Source organism: Homo sapiens, chromosome 2 (genome assembly GCF_000001405.40).
Source record: "Homo sapiens chromosome 2, GRCh38.p14 Primary Assembly".
NCBI lineage: Eukaryota > Metazoa > Chordata > Mammalia > Primates > Hominidae > Homo > Homo sapiens.
The window spans coordinates 56,127,963-56,149,427 of NC_000002.12; the positions used below are offsets into that span (position 1 = coordinate 56,127,963).

The 21,465-nt window shown below is 40.5% G+C and overlaps 1 long non-coding RNA gene across 1 annotated transcript in view; it reads left to right on the forward strand.

The window, feature by feature from the left end:
• LOC105374690 (uncharacterized) overlaps positions 1-21,465 on the forward strand; it is a 231,734-nt gene that overhangs the window by 182,139 nt on the left and 28,130 nt on the right. The window contains exon 6 of the long non-coding RNA XR_940109.3: positions 19,668-19,778. This is a non-coding gene — a long non-coding RNA (uncharacterized LOC105374690). The remainder of the gene's footprint in view (positions 1-19,667; positions 19,779-21,465) is intronic.

Genomic DNA, 21,465 nt, shown 5'->3' on the forward strand with positions numbered 1-21,465 from the left:
AGCTTGTGACAGCCACTGTCTCAAACTCAATTAGTCATTGTGCACAAGGAAAGCCGAGATCATCACAGATTCACACATGCTTAATGGATAAAGCATGACTGGGGAGAGATTTCCTCTGTTTAATTTCTGCTGTTCGTGTTCATTGGTAGATCACATGGCTATTAAAATAAATAGGGCAGTGGAAGTTTCTTTTGGGCAGGGTTAAGCAGATGTTCTTTATTTAAAAAGATTGAATGCATTTTATCCTAGAGAGAAAATTTGGGAGGCAGAGGAAATGAAAGAGGCATCAGAGGGTATAAAGAGTGTTTATTTAGAAAGCTTGTCTCATTGCTTGAATGCAGACCCTTCCCATTGGGATACCTATCTCTGAACCTCAGAATGTGAGCACCAGAACAAAGCCAGACCTCTGGAGGACCAAAGGGCTGACTCAGATGCTTCTGGGGAAAATGCTGAGCAAGAGACGAGGATTGTTTTTACTGATACTAGAAAACTGGAATTGCCTGGACTTCTTTCGCAATTTCTTACACAGTGATGTCTCCGCTACCTGTGTCTCTTGGAGTACCAATCATCATCATTTAAAAAAATACCAAATGATGGGTTTTTTTTTGTGTGTGTGTGTGTGTGGTTTCTTAATGCTGTAGCACTGGTTGGGTCTAGACTAGAGTTGTGAATACAACTGAAGTCTGGGAAGCAGTTTTAAAAAGTACTTCTTCTTCTTCTTTTTTTTTTTAAATAGCTCAAACTATTTATCTAAATCTTTCTAATTGCTTTGCTTGTCTGTGTTAGCATTGTCTGCTTTTTGTCTTTTTTTTTTTTTTTTTTTTGAGATGGAATCTCATTCAGTTACCTGGGCCGGAGGGCAGTGGTGCAATTTCAGCTCCCTGCAACCTCCATCTCTCGGGTTCAAGCAATTTTCGTGCGTCAGCCTCCCAAGTAGCTGGGATCACAGGTGTGCACCACCACGCCCAGCTAATTTTTGAATTTTTAGTAGAGACAGAGTTTCACCATGTTGTTTAGGCTGGTCTCAAATTTCTGACCTCAGATGATCTGCCCACCTTGGCCTCCCAAAGTGCTGGGATTACAGGCGTGAGCTACCATGCCTGGCTTTTTTTTTTTTTTCTTTTAAGACAGAGTTTCGTTCTTGTTGCCCAGGCTGGAGTGCAGTGGCGTGATCTCGGCTCACTGCAACCTCTGCCTCTTGGGTTCAAGCGATTATCCTGGCTCAGCCTCCTGAGTAGCTGGGATTACAGGTGCCTGCCACCACGCCCGGCTACCTTTTTGTATTTTCAGTAGATACGGGGTTTCATCATTTTGGCCAGGCTGGTTTCGAACTGCTGACCTCAGGTGATCCACCCACCTCAGCCTCCCAAAATGCAGGGATTGCAGGTGTGAGCCACCATGCCCGGCCTTGTTTTTAAATTTTAAATTTTAAAATTAAATTTAAAACATTTTAAATTAAATATTTAAAATTTAAAATTTGAAACCATGGGGCCTATTTTTAAACACAGTCAAGGGCAATGTTGTATAGAAAGAGGTTCTTAGGATCACAGCAGTCTTCCTCATGGGTTTATGAAAATGTTTTGAGGAGTCCAAATATCTAGGAGGTGGTTAAGGGCAGGGATTACTCCTATTTTAATCTGCAAAAACTGAGGCTCATGGGGCTGAACAGTTAGTACCAAGTTCTAGATCTCCTAAATCTCAGGCCTGACTCCTTATAGGAGAGGCCAATGTTGCCCAGATAAATAACTGGGGAGTGGATTAGGTGTGGGGTCAAGGCTAAGGCTGAATACCTTCCTATCATTAGCACTGAAAGTCCTATGGCCTGGGAAACCCCTCAATCATAGGCAAACTGGGACAGTGGGTCACCCTACTGCAAGATCGCAGTTGGCCTATCTCAGATGTCACGTACATCTCTAGATCCTTTCTCTTCTGTAATCTTAAGTGTGTTTGGAAGCTGGCTCTTAACCATGTGTTACCAATTAAACTCCTAAAAGTTCAGATTTGAGATTTCTGTGTGATTCTGGGTTATATTTTTCTGACAGGTCTAACAATCCTCTTGGGTGCTTTATCTCCTGAAAAAAATAACAAACATGTCTGGGCCGCTGAAGTCACCCTGATTCCTCTCTATGGGCCCAACAGGCTCATTTGATTCACAAACTTGTGTAGATGAATCTGAGAGATGAATATCTGTTGTTCTCTCTGGCTTGGAGCATATGAGATGCCATATGACAATCTTTTCTTCTAAAGAATGGGGATAATAATTATCAACCTCATAGAGTTGTTTTAAGTATTAAGGTAATATAAGAAAGGTGCTTAGAATAGGGACAAGCACATAGTAAATATTCAATAAGTATTAGGAAAAAGAAAAACTTAAATAGTACTATAGAAATATAGGCTATTGACTGAATTGTCATTGTCATTGTATTCGGCAAATTCTCATGATAGAGGATTTTCAGTCTGTGGAGAAAACATATTAGAGGTTAAGATTAAAGTCTTTCAGAGTAAGTGAGGACTTCCCCAGGGAAACCCAACCTGGGAGTCAGATGGCATAGGTCCCCCACAATTAAAACATGCATTCTTATATATTCTTACGTGCTTGGGAAGCCACTAAGCTGTGCCTGTAAACTAGCCAAACTTCAGAGCTCTAGCTTTGTGTGGTGGCCTGTGGGTGAGGATTCTACCACCAGAGGGAGTTGAAGACCCAATTCAAACTGGATTAAGCAACTAGGAAATTAAATTGCTCATGTACCTGGAAGTCTAGAAGATCATGCAACTGATCTTCAGGGTTAATAGTGGCTTTAGAGTATAATGCCAAACTCATTGAAGTTCTCTACCATTCAAGATGTCAGCTGTGAGAAATGAGGGGATCAGAACCAAGTGTTAATCCTTTCTCCCAGCAGAGATCAGAGAGCTAGGAAAGGTGGGGATAGGGGCTGCGGAGGCCCGTCTCTTATCTGGAGAAGCCAGGGTACCCAAACTCAGAAGCGTATGGAATCTAGCGTCAGTGGGGAAGGAAGGTCACCATAGTAAGCAGGGCTTGAGGTAGATTTCAAGAGTGGGGGTATAAAGGTCATGGAACTCAACATGTGAGGAGATGAGAGCAGTCATGGACAGGTTAATTAGATTTGAGATGGGGACTACTGTTTGGGCTGGGTGCTGCATGTTTGTTCATTCCCTCAGTGCACTGTAGATGGAGGGTGTGCCGGTAATATTTAAAGAACAAGGGTGGATTCACCTGAGAAACAGTTCAGGGCAGGGCTTTCCTTCCAGTAGGGGAATAAGAATGCATTCACGTAGAGATTGGAGGGTGATTCTTTCTTGCTCCAAGGATCTCAGGTGGGTACTTCTTTCCCAGGAATGCTGCACCTGGGCTAAGGGCAGCAAGCCCAATCCTGGACCCTGTATAAGTAGGACTGGAGTTCCTAACTCACTGCCAGGCTTGAAGCAGGGGCTAGTTCTTCATGAGAGACTGGCAAGATATTTGCTCACCTTCTTACTTTTCTCAGAAGGTAAATTAAAATTTGTTAGGGCTCATAATTCCCAATGCTAGGGTCCTTTCCCATCTCAGTTACTGGTTTCTTTGCTTACCAGTGTACCAGAATTAATTTACCTGTAACACGGGGCATGTTCTACTCATCGTGGCAAAGGAAGCCAGCAGAGACAGAACACGTGGGCTGAAACTATGGTTATAAGTCACTGAGTTGTATTCTGTCCAAAATACTTAAAAGTAGATGGCCAAACTTCATTAAGTATAGAATGTTTGAAAATAGCCTTTCCAAGAAGGGAAAAATTTTCTTGAATGTAAGGATTATCAAGGAATTGGATGCTACAGAGGAGGAATTGTCAGAAAGGAGGCATCGAGACAGGTTTTGTCATATAAGCCAGAAATTGATCCTGGGAGTTTTTTCCAGAAAATGGTTTTCTAAATGTTTTTAAAAATAGCAATGTAAATGAATCAACTTGATCATCCATAATCTCAAACATTTGTCATTTTGAGGGGTAGCACTCAGGCTAACACATGGTAGTCTGACATGTTTGTATAAAAACATTCTAATTACTTTCTTATACCTTATTTTAGAACCTAATTTAAATTTAAATTTTCTAAACTTTATATTAGGCATGCATCAAAAATATGCATCAATTTTTCTAAAATTTAAACTAGAAAAATGTTTAAATTTAATTTAGATTTTTCTAAATTTTAATTTAAATTTTAAATTAGAGGTTTAAATTTTAAAAAAATAGATGCATATGTTAGGTGCCCAGTGTAAATTTTTGCTTATTTATCTGTTTTTGATGAACAAATACTCCCACATTCTCTTCAGTCTGCATTGATTTTCTGGGCTGGTTGCACTGAATTTGTAGTCAGAAAGTAATTGAAAGTTGTAATGGGGTGCCATCTACTGGGGAAATAGAACATAGATTAAAAAACAGAATTGATAGGCGTTCCCACTGCAAAAAAGAATGTGATGAAGATGATGTAAAAGAAAACATGAAAAAAGATGGGAAGTTTACATTTTGCATAAGACTAGAAAAATTTTATTTGAACTCAAATATGCTTCTTTGATATACTACTTTGTTTTAACACTAGCACAGACACTAGATATCAAAAGAAACCCTCTGTTTATACTTAAAATCCGAAAACTTTCAAATGGCTGAGATCTTTGAGACCAACCAGTTCAACACCCTCATGTTACAGATGAGAAACGGGCTCAGAGAGGAGAAGGGATTCATCAACTCTCTCCAGTTAGGTAATGCGGACATTTATATCCTCTCCTCACCAAGATGGTCCTCACTTAGATGAAGTAGCCATTTGGCAAAACATAATGATATAAAGGTCACCAAGAAGTTATCCAGGGCCAAACAGAACACCTCTCTGGCTGACTTGACAGATTGTTAGAAAGCCTCATAATTAGCGTTGCTCCTTTGCATGGGAAGTGATGTTTATTCATTTGTACTGTAAGTTCCCACAGACGCCTTCAGGACAATAGGATTTTCTCTGATTATTTGCTGTTTACCTGCTTATTTAGAAAGTAACCAGCAGAACTGCTGCTTTAGATCTAATTCTTTTTTTTTTTTTTGAGATGGAGTCTCCCACTGTTGCCCAGGCTGGAGTGCAGTGGCGCGATCTCGGCTCACTGCAACCTCCGCCTCCCAGATTCAAGCGATTCTCCAGCCTCAGCCTCCCAAGTAGCTGGGACTATAGGTGCATGTCACCACACCTAGCTAATTTTTTGTATTTTTTAGTAGAGACGGGGTTTCACCTTGTTAGCCAGGGTGATCTCGATCTCCTGACCTCGTGATCCGCCTGCCTCGGCCTCCAAAAGTGCTGGGATTACAGGCGTGAGCCACCAGGCCTGGCTTAGATCTAATTCTAACCAAGAGAGGGTGATGAGTGGGAAGAACATTATGAGAATTGATCATGGCTTCCCAAGGCAGTAATATCAGGGAAGAAAGATGGGACTGGTGAGGCATAGACCTGGGTTCTAGCATTCAGAGCAAAGTGGGCACTTAGAGGGAAGAGTGTGCGTGAAGGATGGGGAGCTCTCAAAACCACAGTGCTCTGACTCCACAACTGCAAATACACCCAATAAGGAGTGATACGGTTTGGATCTGTGTCCCTGCCAAACCTCAGGTTGAAATGTAATCCCAGTGTTGGAGGTGGGACCTGGTGGGAGGAGTTTGAATCATGGGGGTGTATCCCTCATGAATTGCTTAGTGCCATCCCCTTGGTGATGAGTGAGTTCGTATGAGATCCAGTTGTTTAAAAGTGTGAGCCTGGGTGACAGAGGGATACTGTCTCAATAAATAAATAATAAAATAAATAAAAAGTGTGTGGCACCTTCCACTCTCTCTCTCTTGCCCCTGCTCTCACCATGTGATATGTCGGCTCCTCCTTTGCCTTCTACCATAAGTGTAAGGTCCCTGAGGCCTCCTCAGAAGCCAAGCATCTGCCATGCTTCCTGTACAGTCTGCAGAATTGTGAGCCAATGAAACCTCTTTTCTTTATAAATTACCCAGTCTCCTGTGTTCCTTTATAGCAAAGCAAGAACGGCCTAACACAAGCAGTAATTAAATGGGTGCTTAGGGAAGCCAGGGCGGCTACACATGTTTTTCTCTGTTGAACTCTGATTTCCAGCGAATACTTAGAAAAGAAACAGGAAGGAGTGCTTGGCCAGTGATAAGAGGAAGGCTTATGAGAACAGTATTATATAGCCTCTCATTTCCATGAGCTTGTAAGAAATGCTCGGGGCAACAAAACTCAGAAAATTATTTTTAGAGTAATCCCCACAAGAGGGGGTAGGGAACGGGCCTGCTTCTTTGGAGAGATTCTTGCATGCTGACCAATAATATAAATGCGCTCCTTTACTTCTGTTCATCTTCATTTTTTGCAACAAAGAATGATTTTCGAATTGAAAGCATAGAACAAATGTTAATAAAAGGGAATGGAAGTTCAGACTGAAAAAAAGCCATGTCAGCTAGTAACAGCTACACATTAGAATGCTTCCTACATTCAATATTTTACATATATTATCTCATTTAATCTATACAGTAACTATGGTTTTAGGCACTATCTTATTTAGGTATTAGGAACCTCAGAGAGAGAGAGATGAAAGTATTTGTTTACGTTCCCTGTAATAAGGGGAAAGGAAGGCGGCACACAATTTATCCTCAGGCCATCTGATCTGGAGCTTGAGAGCAGAGCTGCTCAATTACTGGGCCTCCAGAGTTCCTTTGGGAGGTCAGTCCTCCTGGTGCAGATACAGAACACCCCAGCCTATGAGAGAACTTGCACTGTGAGCCATGGCAAGGGGCTGCAAATCCAGGAATGGGAAAATGTGTTTCTCTTTTGAAACTTTTCCTAAAAGAGAGAGCGAGAGCGAGACAGAATAAGGCATATTCTGCACATTGCAAGTTAGTGAGCTTGGTGTAGATGCTGGGTGAAATCCTAAGATAATAGGGTAATAGCCCTAAGTCTTAAAAGGTTATTGTATAATAAACACCTGGGAAAGGAAGCAACCAATCCAAGCACCCAGTGAGGGTTCGTAACTGTGCCATCATTTACTCATTCAGAAAATCCTGACGGCCTACTATGTGCCTGCTGCTGTGGTGGGCACCCTGGCATAATAAACAGGGCCTCCCCTCAACATAATCTCAACTAGTGGAGGGAAGACACGATCACTAATGATTGCAATGCTATGGAAACATCAGATAGGTATGGGTTCGTTAGTAGAGATAATGTGCCTCAGGGAGGCACACAAACTAGACTAAAGAGAAAGGAAGCAGAGAAGGTATCCCAAGGGCTGGGCTCCTTTTCCTTTCATTAAAAACATTTTTTTAAAGTCACTTTGTAAAAATTTTAGGCTGAACTATATGAACCATATGAAATTGCCATTTTTTAGGCCACAAATAAGCAAATATTGGCAATTTTATATGATCCAATCTAATCCAAAGTTTTCAAAGTCCAACAACACAACAGCACTACAAATAGGTTTTAATATGAAATGGGCAGGAGGTCCCTGCTTCGCATCTTCCCACCTCAGACTCCTTTTCCCCAAAGGCTGCCATTCTCAAGTCTTATAGATAGCTGTTTTTAGCTATTTCCTTCGCTACATATTGCCAAATAATATATGTTACTGTCATTTCTGGATTTTCCATTTTAACTATCTATTGAATTTCTGCTCTGAGGATGAGGATTTAACACTTATGCCACCCCTATCGTACATGCCTGCATTCTCTGCCCTATCTTACATTACTATATTATAATTTCTAGTGAGATCACGCTTCATATTTGCATCATTAATGTCAGGAGGGAACTCATGATATTTTCTTCCATGAGGTGGGATTTCTGCTAAACATTTCTGTGATCTCTCTGCGCCTTTACTCATTAATTCATTTGCTTCTCTTTAGGGAAGGAAGAGTGGCTTAATCTGGTTAGTGAATTTGGATCACCCCTTTTTCCTTCTGCTCTCTGGAAGCTATTTAATAGCAAGGGGAGAGTGTTCCTTGCTGCTCCATCTAGGCAGGGAAAGTCCAGCCTTGTCTTGGCTTGGGCAGGGAGTTTGGGGAGCAGTGGGAATCTGCCTAATTCTGAGATTCAAGGCTCATTTGGTTCTCATACCTAAACTACATTAGCCAAATAGGCCTTTTTCTTTTTAATAGACAACAGAAATTTATTTCTCACAGGTCTAGAGGTTGGGAAGTCCAAGATCAAGGCACTGGCAGATTTGGAGTTCTGGTGAGGGTCCACTTCCTAACAGACAGCCATCTTCTCACTCTAATCTCACATAGTGGAAGCTAGTGAAGCCTTTATCACTAGAGGGAAATAAGGGTGAGGTTTTGTCCTTCATCTAAATTTTCTGATTTATTTGCCAATTTGTTTAAAACTTGGGTGAGAAATAAGAAAATGATTTACCAGTTTCCTTGGAAGGACCCGACAATTATAATTACATACTTTTAAATTTACTCTCCTTTTCCTATAGTGTTCTTTGTTTTTTCCTAGAGCTATGAACTGTTTCTGTTTATTTGAATAGCCCATCTGTAAACTCCTGAAGGCTGAAAACACCCCTCTATAAGTTCAAGTAATCTCTTGCACTCCCCAACGCCAATGCCCCCGCCCGCCACCTTTGAGATGAACCTTTTGGAATCCTCCTACCTTGCTTGCAATCATTTCTGACCCTTCTCTGGCCCTGAAGCCTGGCTGTTACCCAGAGGCTCCCCTCACCGTCATCCTGGGAATTTGGTTCACTTCTGTGTTTTATCCCTGGCTTCTTGGATTACATGACTTCCTGTTTCTTGTCTATATTCTACCCTCACACTTGACTAATGATTTTGCTAAGTATAGAATTCTGTGTTCAACAGAATTTCCCTCAGAACCTTGAAGGAACTGTTTTCCAGAAGCCCAGTGAGTGTTATGAAATTTCACAATGATGGGCATTTTGCAGGACATCTGGTAGGTCCTTTCTATTTTAGAAACACATTCTTCTTTCTAAGTTCTGAGAAATTTTTTGCATAATTTCTTTTATAATAGTTTCCCTGCATGTTCTCTGATCTCATTTTCCACACCACCCCCTCCTTCCCTGGAACCCTTGCTGTCCTGATGTTTGACCATCAATCCTCCAATTTTCTTGATTTTTTGCTGTCTTATTTCCCACCTTTTTGTCATTTTGTTTTACTTTCTATGAGATTTCTTTTTCTTTTATTATTATAAGTTTTAGGGTACATGTGCACAACGTGCAGGTTTGTTACATATGTATACATGTGCCATGTTGGTGTGCTGCACCCATTAATTCGTCATTTAACATTAGGTATATCTCCTAATGCTATCCCTCCCCCACCCCCCTACAACAGGCCCTGGTGTGTGATGTTCCCCTTCCTGTGTCCATGTGTTCTCATTGTTCAATTCCCACCTATGAGTGAGAACATGTGGTGTTTGGTTTTTTGTCCTTGCGATAGTTTGCTGAGAATGATGGTTTCCAGCTTCATCCATGTCCCTACAAAGGACATGAACTCATCATTTTTTATGGCTGCATAGTATTCCATGGTGTATATGTGCCACATTTTCTTAATCCAGTCTATCATTGTTGGACATTTGGCTTGGTTCCAAGTCTTTGCTATTGTGAATAGTGCTGCAATAAACATACGTGTGCGTGTATCTTTATAGCAGCATGATTTATAATCTTTCGGGTATATGCCCAGTAATGGGATGGCTGGGTCAAATGGTATTTCTAGTTCTAGATCCCTGAGGAATGGCCACACTGACTTCCACAATGGTTGAACTAGTTTACAGTCCCACCAACAATGTAAAAGTGTTCTTATTTCTCCACATCCTCTCCAGCACCTGTTGTTTCCTGACTTTTTAATGATCACCATTCTAACTGGTGTGAGATGGTATTTCATTGCGATTTTGATTTGCATTTCTCTGATGGCCAGTGATGATAAGCATTTTTTCATGTGTCTTTTGGCTGCATAAATGTCTTCTTTTGAGAAGTGTCTGTTCATATCCTTCACCCACTTTTTGATGGGGTTGTTTGTTTTTTTCTTGTAAATTTGTTTGAGTTCTTTGTAGATTCTGGATATTAGCCCTTTGTCAGATGAGTAGATTGCAGAAATTTTCTCCCATTCTGTAGGTTGCGTGTTCACTCTGATGGTAGTTTCTTTTGCTGTGCAGAAGCTCTTTAGCTTAATTAGATCCCATTTGTCAATTTTGGCTTTTGTTGCCATTGCTTTTGGTGTTTTAGACATGAAGTCCTTGCCCATGCCTATGTCCTGAAATGGTATTGCCTAGGTTTTTTTCTAGGGTTTCTATGGTTTTAGGTTGGACATTTAATCCATCTTGAATTAATTTCTGTATAAGGTGTAAGGAAGGGAACCAGTTTCAGCTTTCTACATATGGCTAGCCAGTTTTCCCAGCACCATTTATTAAATAGGGAATCCTTTCCCCATTTCTTCTTTTTGTCAGGTTTGTCAAAGATCAGATAGTTGTAGATATGTGGCATTATTTCTGAGGGCTCTATTCTGTTCCATTGGTCTATATCTCTGTTTTGGTACCAGTACCATGCTGCTTTGGTTACTGTAGCTTTGTAGTATAGTTTGAAGTCAGGTAGCTTGATGCCTCCAGCTTTGTTCTTTTGGCTTAGGATTGACTTGGCAATGCAGGCTCTTTTTTGGTTCCATATGAACTTTAAGGTAGTTTTTTCCAATTCTGTGAAGAAAGTCATTGGCAGCTTGATGGGGATGGCATTGAATCTATAAATTACCTTGGGCAGTATGGCCATTTTCACAATATTGATTCTTCCTACCCATGAGCATGGAATGTTCTTTCATTTGTTGGTAGCCTCTTTTATTTCCTGGAGCAGTGGTTTGTAGTTCTCCTTGAAGAGGTCCTTTGCATCCCTTGTAAGTTGGATTCCTAGGTATTTTATTCTCTTTGAAGCAATTGTGAATGGGTGTTCACTCATGATTTGGATCTCTGTTTGTCTGTTATGGGTGTATAAGAATGCTCGTGATTTTTGCACATTGATTTTGTATCCTGAGGCTTTGCTGAAGTTGCTTATCAGCTTAAGGAGATTTTGGGCTGAGACGATGGGGTTTTCTAGATATACAGTCATGTCATCTGTAAACAGGGCAATTTGACTTCCTCTTTTCCTAATTGAATACCCTTTATTTCCTTCTCCTGCCTGATTGCCCTGGCCAGAAGTTCCAACACTATGTTGAATAGGAGTGGTGAGAGAGGGCATCCCTGTCTTGTGCCGGTTTTCAAAGGGAATGCTTCCAGTTTTTGCTCATTCAGTATGATATTGGCTGTGGGTTTGTCATAAATAGCTCTTATTATTTTGAGATACGTCCCATCAATACCTAATTTATTGAGAGTTTTTAGCATGAAGGGTTGTTGAATTTTGTCAAAGGCCTTTTCTGCATCTATTGAGATAATAATGTGGTTTTTGTCATTGGTTCTGTTTATATGCTGGATTACGTTTATTGATTTGCGTATGTTGAACCAGCCTTGCATCCCATGGATGAAGCCCACTTGATCATGGTGGATAAGGTTTTTGATGTGCTGCTGGATTCGGTTTGCCAGTACTTTATTGAGGATTTTTGCTTCGATGTTCATCAGGGATATTGGTCTAAAATTCTCTTTTTTGGTTGTGTCTCTGCCAGGCTTTGGTATCAGGATGATGCTGGCCTCATAAAATGAGTTAGGGAGGATTCCCTCTTTTTCTATTGATTGGAATAGTTTCAGAAGGAATGGTACCAGCTCCTCCTTGTACCTCTGGTAGAATTCAGCTGTGAATCAGTCTGGTCCTGGACTTTTTTTGGTTGGTAAGCTGTTAATTATTGCCTCAATTTCAGAGCCTGTTATTGGTCTCTTCAGGGATTCAGCTTCCTCCTGGTTTAGTCTTGGGAGGGTGTATATGTCGAGGAATTTATCCAGTTCTTCTAGATTTTCTAGTTTATTTGTGTAGAGGTGTTTATAGTATTCTCTGATGGTAGTTTGTATTTCTGTGGGATCGGTGGTGATATCCCCTTTATCATTTTTTATTGCATCTATTTGATTCTTCTCTCTTTTCTTCTTTATTAGTCTTGCTAGCGGTCTATCAATTTTGTTGATCTTTTCAAAAAACCAGCTCCTGGATTCATGGATTTTTTGAAGGGTTTTGTGTGTCTCTATCTCCTTCAGTTCTGCTCTGATCTTAGTTATTTCTTGCCTTCTGCTAGCTTTTGAATGTGTTTGCTCTTGCTTCTATAGTTCTTTTAATTGTGATGTTAAGGTGTCAATTTTAGATCTTTCCTGCTTTCTCTTGTGGGCATTTAGCGCTATAAATTTCCCTCTACACACTGCTATAAATGTGTCCCAGAGATTCTGGTATGTTGTGTCTTTGTTCTCGTTTGTTTCAAAGAACATCTTTATTTCTGCCTTCATTTCGTTATGTACCCAGTAGTCATTCAGGAGCAGGTTGTTCAGTTTCCATGTCGTTGAGCGGTTTTGGGTGAGTTTCTTAATCCTGAGTTCTAGTTTGATTGCACTGTGGTCTGAGAGACAGTTTGTTATAATTTCTGATCTTCTACATTTGCTGAGGAGTGCTTTACTTCCAACTATGTGGTCAATTTTGGAATAGGTTTGGGGTCATGGTGAGCAGAATGTATATTCTGTTGATTTGGGGTGGAGAGTTCTGTAGGTGTCTATTAGGTCCCCTTGGTGCAGAGCTGACTTCAATTCCTGGATATCCTTGTTAACTTTCTGTCTTATTGATCTGTCTAATGTTGACAGTGGGGTGTTAAAGTCTCCCATTATTATTGTGTGGGAGTCTAAGTCTCTTTGTAGGTGTCTAAGGACTTGCTTTATGAATCTGGGTGCTCCTGTATTGGGTGCATATATATTTAGGATAGTTAGCTTTTCTTGTTGAATTGATCCCTTTACCATTATGTAACGGCCTTCTTTGTCTCTTTTGATCTTTGTTGGTTTCAAGTCTGTTTTATCAGAGACTAGGATTGCAACCCCTGCCTTTTTTTGTTTTCCGTTTGCTTGTTAGATCTTGCTCCATGCCTTTATTTTGAGCCTATGTGTCTCTGCACGTGAGATGGGTTTCCTGAGTACATCACACTGATGGGTCTTGACTCTTTATCCAATTTGCCAGTCTGTGTCTTTGAACTGGAGCATTTAGCCCATTTACATTTAAGGTTAATATTGTTATGTGTAATTTTATCCTGTCATTATGATGTTAGCTGCTTATTTTGCTCATTAGTTGATGCAGTTTCTTCCTAGCCTCGATGGTCTTTACAATTTGGCATGTTTTTGCAGTGGCCAGTACTGGTTTTTCCTTTCCGTGTTTAGTGCTTCCTTTAGGAGCTCTTTTAGGGCAGGCCTGGTGGTGACAAAATCTCTCAGCATTTGCTTGTCTGTAAAGTATTTTATTTCTCCTTCACTTATGAAGCTTAGTTTGGCTGGATATGAAATTCTGGCTTGAAAATTCTTTTCTTTAAGAATGTTGAATATTGGCCCCTACTCTCTTCTGGCTTGTAGAGTTTCCACTGAGAGATGAGCTGTTAGTCTGATGGGCTTGCCTTTGTGAGTAACCCAACCTTTCTCTCTGGCTGCCCTTAACATTTTTTCCTTCATTTCAACTTTGGTGAATCGGACAATTATGTGTCTTGGAGTTGCTCTTCTCGAGGAGTATCTTTGTGGCTTTCTCTGTATTTCCTGAATTTGAATGTTGGCCTGCCTTGCTAGATTGGGGAAGTTCTCCTGGATAATATCCTGCAGAGTGTTTTCCAACTTGGTTCCATTCTCCCCGTCACTTTCAGATACACCAATCAGACATAGATATGGTCTTTTCACATAGTCCCATATTTCTTGGTGGCTTTGTTCATTTCTTTTTACTCTTTTTTCTCTAAACTTCTCTTCTCACTTCATTTCATTCCTTTGGTCTTCCATCACTGATACCCTTTCTTCTGGTTGATTGAATTGGCTACTGAGGCTTATGCATTCGTCACGTAGTTCTCGTGCCGTGGTTTTCAGCTCCATCAGGTCCTTTAAGGACTCCTCTGCATTGGTTATTCTAGTTAGCCATTCGTCTAATCTTTTTTCAAGGTTTTTAAGTTCTTTGCCATGGGTTCGAATTTACTCCTTTAGCTCAGAGAGAAGTTTGATTGTCTGAAGTCTTCTTCTCTCAACTCATCAAAGTCATTCTCTGTCCAGCTTTGTTCTGTTGCTGGTGAGGAGCTGCATTCCTTTGGAGGAGGAGAGGCACTCTGATTTTTAGAATTTCCAGTTTTTCTGCTCTGTTTTTCCCCCATATTTGTGGTTTTATGTACCTTTGTTCTTTGATGATGGTGACGTACAGGTGGGGTTTTGGTGTGGATGTCCTTTCTGTTTGTTAGTTTTCCTTCTAACAGTCAGGACCCTCAGCTGCAGGTCTGTTGTAATTTGCTGGAGGTCCACTGCAGACCCTGTTTGCCTGGGTATCAGCAGCGGTGGCTGCAGAACAGCGAATATTGGTGAACAGCAAATGTTGCTGCCTGATCGTTCCTCTGGAAGTTTTGTCTCAGAGGAGTACCCAGCCGTGTGAGGTATCAGTCTGCCCCTACTGGGGGGTGCCTCTCACTTAGGCTACTCTGGGTTCAGGGACCCACTTGAGGAGGCAGTCTGTCCGTTCTCAGATCTCAAGCTGGGTGCTGGGAGAACCACTACTCTCTTCAAAGCTGTCAGACAGGGACTTTTAAGTCTGCAGAGGTTTCTGCTGCCTTTTGTTCAGCTATGCCCTGCCCCCAGAGGTGGAGTCTACAGAGGCAGGCAGGCCTCCTTGAGCTGTGGTGGGCTCCACCCAGTTCGAGCTTCCTGGCTGCTTTGTTTACCTACCCAAGGCTCAGCAGTGGCGGACGCCCCTCCCCCAGCCTTGCTGCCGCCTTGCAGTTTTATCTCAGGCTGCTGTGCTAGCAGTGAGCGGGGCTCCGTGGGCGTAGGACCCTCTGAGCCATGCGCGAGATATAATCTCCTGGTGTGCCATTTGCTAAGACCATCGGAAAAGCGCAGTATTAGGGTGGGAGTGACCCGATTTTCCAGGTGCCGTCTGTCACCCCTTTCCTTGGCAGGAAAGGGAATTCCCTGACTGCTTGCACTTCCCAGGTGAGGCGATGCCTTGCCCTTCTTCGGCTCACACTCAGTGCACTGCACCCACTGTCCTGCACCCACTGTCTGACAATCCCCAGTGAGATGAACCTGGTACCTCAGTTGGAAATGCAGAAATCACTCATCGTCTCCATTGCTCACCCTGGGAGCTGTAGACTGGAGCTGTTCCTATTCGGCCATCTTGGCTTGGGCCCACCATCTATGAGATTTCTAATACTTTACCTTTCAATACATAGCATTTGATTCGATTTCCTTGTTTTCAGTTGAACATCTCACCTCTCCCTCATCTGTGCCTTTGGTGCCTGAATCCAGAGCCCAAGTCCTGAGCCCAGTCTGAGGCCTGGCTTCTGCAGAAAAGCACAAAAACAAAAAACAAAAAACAAACAAACAAAAAAACTACCTGTCTCTGGCTGAGGCAGTGGGGTGAGGGTGGAATGCATAATCCAGCTCCATGGGTTTAGAAGGGGTATTTAACTCCATCTCATGTAAACTTTGAACCAACACTTCTATTTTTAGCCTCATCCCATACCCTGGCCTTCAGAAGTAACTAATGCTTCTAATTTTGGAAACTTTCTGGAGCTTTTTGCAGTGCCATTAGGCCTCCCTCTTGTCATCCCCCACAGGCTTTAGCTTTCCCAGGTCAGTTAGGTCACTATGTTACTTACATATCTTCTTTCCAGCTTCCAAAATGGTGTTGACGTCTTCCCTTTGCCGTATTTGTAGTCTGTTCCTCTCTATTATTTGTACATGTTGGATTATGCCTTTTAAAAAATTTTTATCACCATTTTATTGAGATTTTCAAGAGATATAAATGAGTGGTTTAATTAATATTCCATATTTAAAGAGAATGATCTCTCTCCCTCTCTCTGTCATTTTTAGTAAGAACTTTATTAAGATGTAATTCATATATCATACAATTCACCCATTTACAATGTACAATTGTTTTTAGTTTATTCACATAGGTGTGCAATCATCATCACAATTTTAGAACATTTTTGTCAACTCCAAAAGAAACCTGATTCATTTGCCATCATTGCCCATTTCCCCCAACTTTCTCCAGCCCTAGGCAACCACCAATCTACTTTCTGTCTCTGTGGACTTGCCTAGTCTGGGCATCTTATATAAATGGAATCATACAGTATGTATAATACGTGGTCCTTTATGGCTGGCTTTTCTCACTTAGCATAAACTTTTTAAGGTTCATCAGTGTTGTATCATGTATCACTATTCCATTTCTTTCCTTTTTTTTTTTTTTTTTTTAAGAGACAAGGCTTAGCTGTCACCTGGGCTGGAATGCAGTGGCACAATCATAGCTCACTGTAACTTTGAACTCCTGGGCTCAAGCAGTCCTCCCACATCATCCTCCCGAATATCTGGGATAGGATTCCTGCTGTTTTTGTTTTTTTTTTTTTGGATAGAGATGGGGTTTTGCAATATTGCCCAGGCTGGTCTCAAACTTCTGGCCTCAAGCAAGCCTCCTGCCTTGGCCTTCAAAAGTGCTGGGATTACATGTGTGAGCCACTGCACCGACTCCCGCATTTCTTTGATTAATAAATAATATTCCTCTATCTGGACATATTAGTATTTATTCATCCATTGATAGGTATTTGGGTTGCTTTTGCTTTTAGGTTACTATGAACAATGTTGCTATAAACATTTATGTACATGTTTGAGTGTGGACATATGCTTTCATTTCTTATGAGTATATACCTAGGACTGGAACTGCTGGGTAATTTTATATTTAATCTTTTCAGGAACTGCCAGACTGTTTTCCAAAGTGATATTTGATATTCTCAACAGCAGTGTATGAGGATTCCAGATACTCCACATCTTCACCAATGCTTGTTATTGTCTGTCTTTTTGATATAGCCATCCTAGTGGGTATGAAGAAATATCTTATTTGTGGTTTTCATTTGCATTTTCCTGGTTGATAATGATATTGAGCATTTTTTTACAAGCCTGTTGTGCATTTGTATGTCTTCTTTGGGAAAATAGCTATTCAAATTCTGTGCTCATTTTTGAATTGGCTTACTTATCTTTTTATTACAATTTGTAAATATTTTCTCCCATTCTGTGTGTTGTCTTTTCACTTTCTTAATGGTATCCTCTGCAACACAAAAGATTTCCAGTTTATTTTTTTATTGCTTCTGCTTTTGGTCTTGTAGAATAATTTGGAAAGTGTTCTCTTCTATTCTTTGGAAGAGTTAGTATTAATGCTTCAAATGTTTCATAGAATTCACCAGTGAAGACATCTGGTCTTGAACTTTTCTTTGTGGGTAGTTTTAAAATAACTAAGTCCATCTATTTATTTATTTATTATAATAGTCTATTCAGATTTTTTATTTCTTTTTGAGTCAATTTTAGTAGTTTGTGTTTTTCTGGGAATTTTTCCATTTCATCTTCCTCCATCTTCGTGTTTGATTTTTACTTGAACAAGAGTCGAAAAATCACATGTGAAGAAAATATGGTGGTGTGTCTGGGTTTCAGACTGCTATATGAGATTGTGCAAGTTGGAGTTTATTTGAACTGTGTTCCTCTGAGTTAAGAGGTACACAACCTATGCAGATAAGCATGGTGGTCTTAAATAGAAGTATTAAGTGTATTGATTTTGGAGCCAGACCGTCTGGGTTTGACTCCTACCTCCCCACTATCTAGAGGTGTGTCCTTGGTCAAGTTACTTAATCTCCTTAAACTTCATTTTCCATCTGTATAAGCCATAGTACCTTCTTCAGGGTTTTTCTTTTTCTTTCCGTTTTTGAGGATTAAATAGCATAATACACATATAGTACCTAATTCAATAAATGTTACCTCTTATTAGGTATCCTTGTGGCCTTACTATAAACTTCATGAGGTTAGAAATGGGCTTTTTTCCCCTTTTAAATTGTTGAATCCTTAGTACCTAACAAGTGTCCTGGTACTTAATAGGAGCCCAGAATTGTTTGTTTAATGTTTTCATGTGAAAAAACTAGATATGACGACAAACAGCTTGTTCAGGATACTGGGTCATAATGAATGTTAAATGGAACAGTTAGAGGTGTACTGAAGCTACTTTGGCCCTTGTTGGGTTTAACAGAGTCATAAATGGATTGAATAAGTCCATGGAGCCTACAACTATAAAATTCACTCTTGACATAAAGCTAAGGAGGGAGAACAAAATGTGGGTTTGTGTGTATACTAAAGTGTCTTCATATTCCTTCCTATACTTGGGTCCTAATATAACAACTGCATAAGTAAGTAACAGAAAGATGTGGATTAGCAGCAATATAAAAAAATCCTAGGAGTTCTAACCAACAATAAACTCATTCTGAGTAAGCAGTTTAGAAGCAATTAAAATCTGAAGCTACATTCATTATGTATAAAACAAAAGAGGGGGCAGGCACACACAACAGACGTGTTGTGGCTTCACTGCTTTTTAGCTTTTTTTTGGAATATGTTGCTTTCACTTTTTATAAACTGGATCTAGACCCTCAAGCAACAGGCAATAGACAGTGAAACCTTCTCTTTTGTGTGAATAATGTTTTATTATTATGAACTAAACATGCTCTCAGTAGATAGGTTGGTTTATCCTAGGTACAGTGCCTCATGATGACTGACATAAAGATATACTCTCTTACCACTGAAAGGGAGTGAGTGGCCTTCCTTATAAGCATGAGTATCAGTCAGGCTCCTCAGATTTCACACCTGGTTATCAATCCTGTTCCTTGCTCAATTTAACTGAAACATAGAATATGAGTACCTTTCAGTACTCATTTGTACCCAGTTACTTTCAAAACTGGAGTTGAGAAAAACAATATTAGCAAAAAACAACCAGAAGACTATGTAATCCAAACTTTTCTAACCCATGGTCCATGGACCACATGTGGCCTAGGATGGCTTTAAATGTAGCCCAACACAAATTCATAAACTTTCTTAAAACATTATGAGTTTTTTTGTGATTTTTTGGAAGCTCATCAGCTATTGTTAGTGTTAGTGTATTTTATGTGTGGCCCAAGACAATTCTTCCAGTGTGGCCCAGGGAAGCCAAAAGATTGGACACCCATGATAATCTATCCATCCACACTCTAAAATGCGTCCCTAAATTCATCCCATTGTAGAATCAGACTTGGAATGCATCATAGCCTGGCCCACATAGAAATGCTTTTATTGGAATAGTTGGACATGAGGGCATGGAATTATATTGAAGACTGTTCTAGAAAGCATCCTTATAAAATATGTCCTTGGTTTTACACTATTCAAACTATTTTCATTAAAACAGTTTCCTAGAATAATTGTTTGAATTAAGCTTCGAAGGGAAAGATCTTCCTAAGCAAAAATGGTAGAGGATGTGGGATTGGGGTGGGACAAGAAAGTTCAGAAGTAAAAAAGTACAGTGTATATTTGCAAAATGATGATTATCTCAGTTTACCTGGAATGAGGCATACAATTAGGACTGGATAATAGGATAGAGCCTGATTGTTGGGCCAAAGAAGAAATATTATTTGGGAATGAATGGAAGATCACTCATTCATAAAAATATGTTTTGAATGCTTACATTTGACAGGTGCTGAATGTGGAGAGGCAAATAAAATGGACACACAAGCCTTGACCTCTTGGAGTGATTATGATCAAGATTATGATCATTGTGACACACATTAATCCAGGAAGCAAACAAGTAAGTGTTTAATTTCTTCCTATGCATAAAAAGAACAGCGTGCTAGAAAAAGAATAGAGTGACAGCAGTCTTCTTGAGAAAGGGTAGACTTATCTCCAAGGAGGTGACATTGAAATGGAGATCTGAAGGATGAGAGTTGGTGACCAGATGAAGGTGGGTAGGGAAGAGCATTGCATGAAAAAAAGGACAGTAGTTGTAAGGCCCTGGAGGAAAAGGGTCTGATGCCTGAAGGAAATGAGAAAGACCAGTGAGGCTGGAGTATAGTGAGTTAGGAGGGACGCAATGCGAGAAGTTGAAGCCATCCAACCACCTACAGCCAGAGTACTGGGAATTTATTCTAAGTGCAGTGAGGAGCTTTTTACACTTTTTAAACAGGGTGTGCCTGTGTATGACTGATAAGCTTCACTGATAATTCAGAATAGAGTTTTGAGTAGGGAATATTTTAAAAAGTAGGGAGAACTGGAAAGAAGTTAAGGCTGGGTAGACTTATTGCAACAGTTTCAGACAGGTATTGGCAAACATTTTCCATAAAGGGCTGGATAGCCCATATTTTAGGCTTTGAGTGCCAAACAGTCTGGCTCAACCACTCAACTTTGCTGTTGTAGTGTGAAAGCAGCCATAAACAATACAGAAATGAATGAGTATGGTTGTGTTCCAGCAAAATTTTATTTCCCCAAAACAGGTGGTGGGTCATATTTGGCTCTCAGGTTGTAGTTTGCTAGTCCCCATTCTGGGTATTAAAGACATGCCAGTGCACGTGCATGTGAAAAAAGGTGAGGCCAAGAAGGACCTAGGGGGAAGAATTGCCAAGCTTTGGGACTACATGCAGGGCCTGAGAAAGAAGACATTAGGACAAGATTTGAAGTCTGGGTAACAGGGAGAACAGTGTATTTTTGAGAACTTTATAGAAGTTAGGAAGATAAGCTGGTTTGGGGGACAAATAATGCATTTGCTTTTAGTGTCTACATAGTTTATATCAAATTTTCAATTGGATTTGGCCAGTGTGGAAACATCCATAAGGCTGGCAGCTGGCAATGACATTCAAAGCTCATATAGGCTGTGAGAAATCTGGTCATGGGATCCCTCATCTCTATTTGAAGGCCAGGAGTGATTGATTTGATCTGCCCCAAAAGAGGACTCCAAGATGCCTGCTCCTTTCTCGTTTAATGAGCACCCTTCTAAGCTGCAGATTCAGCTGAGAAAGGCTCTTTTCTCCAAAAGACTTTGAAAGTTTCATTTTCTGTGCAGAGATGCATTTGTGTTTGAGAAAATGTGGTAAACCCTTGTGGATGCCACAGAAAGGTCAGTAACGCCTCCAGCTCTCTGCTGTGAACAACCATCACAAGATACCACACGTGATTTGAATGCCTGACTCCAGTGATGAAGACTGTCTCCTGGAGTGGATTTCTCATTTTTGGGTCACCTTTAGTTTCAGCACATGTATGTTTTAAAATATATTGCCATCCATCACACTGGATACATTTTGCATTTTTTATTATTCATATTCTAAAAAACTTACTAGTTTAATGAAAGATGAAAAGAATGCCTGAAAAATATCCTGAAACAAATACAGGAGAAGATGAGAATTGGAGCTTAGCTTTGCTTTGGATGGCAGCATGGTTCTTGCAGAATAGTTCTGTGCTTTGGATTTTATGGGTAGGTTTGGTAAATTAGGTGCAATTGTCCT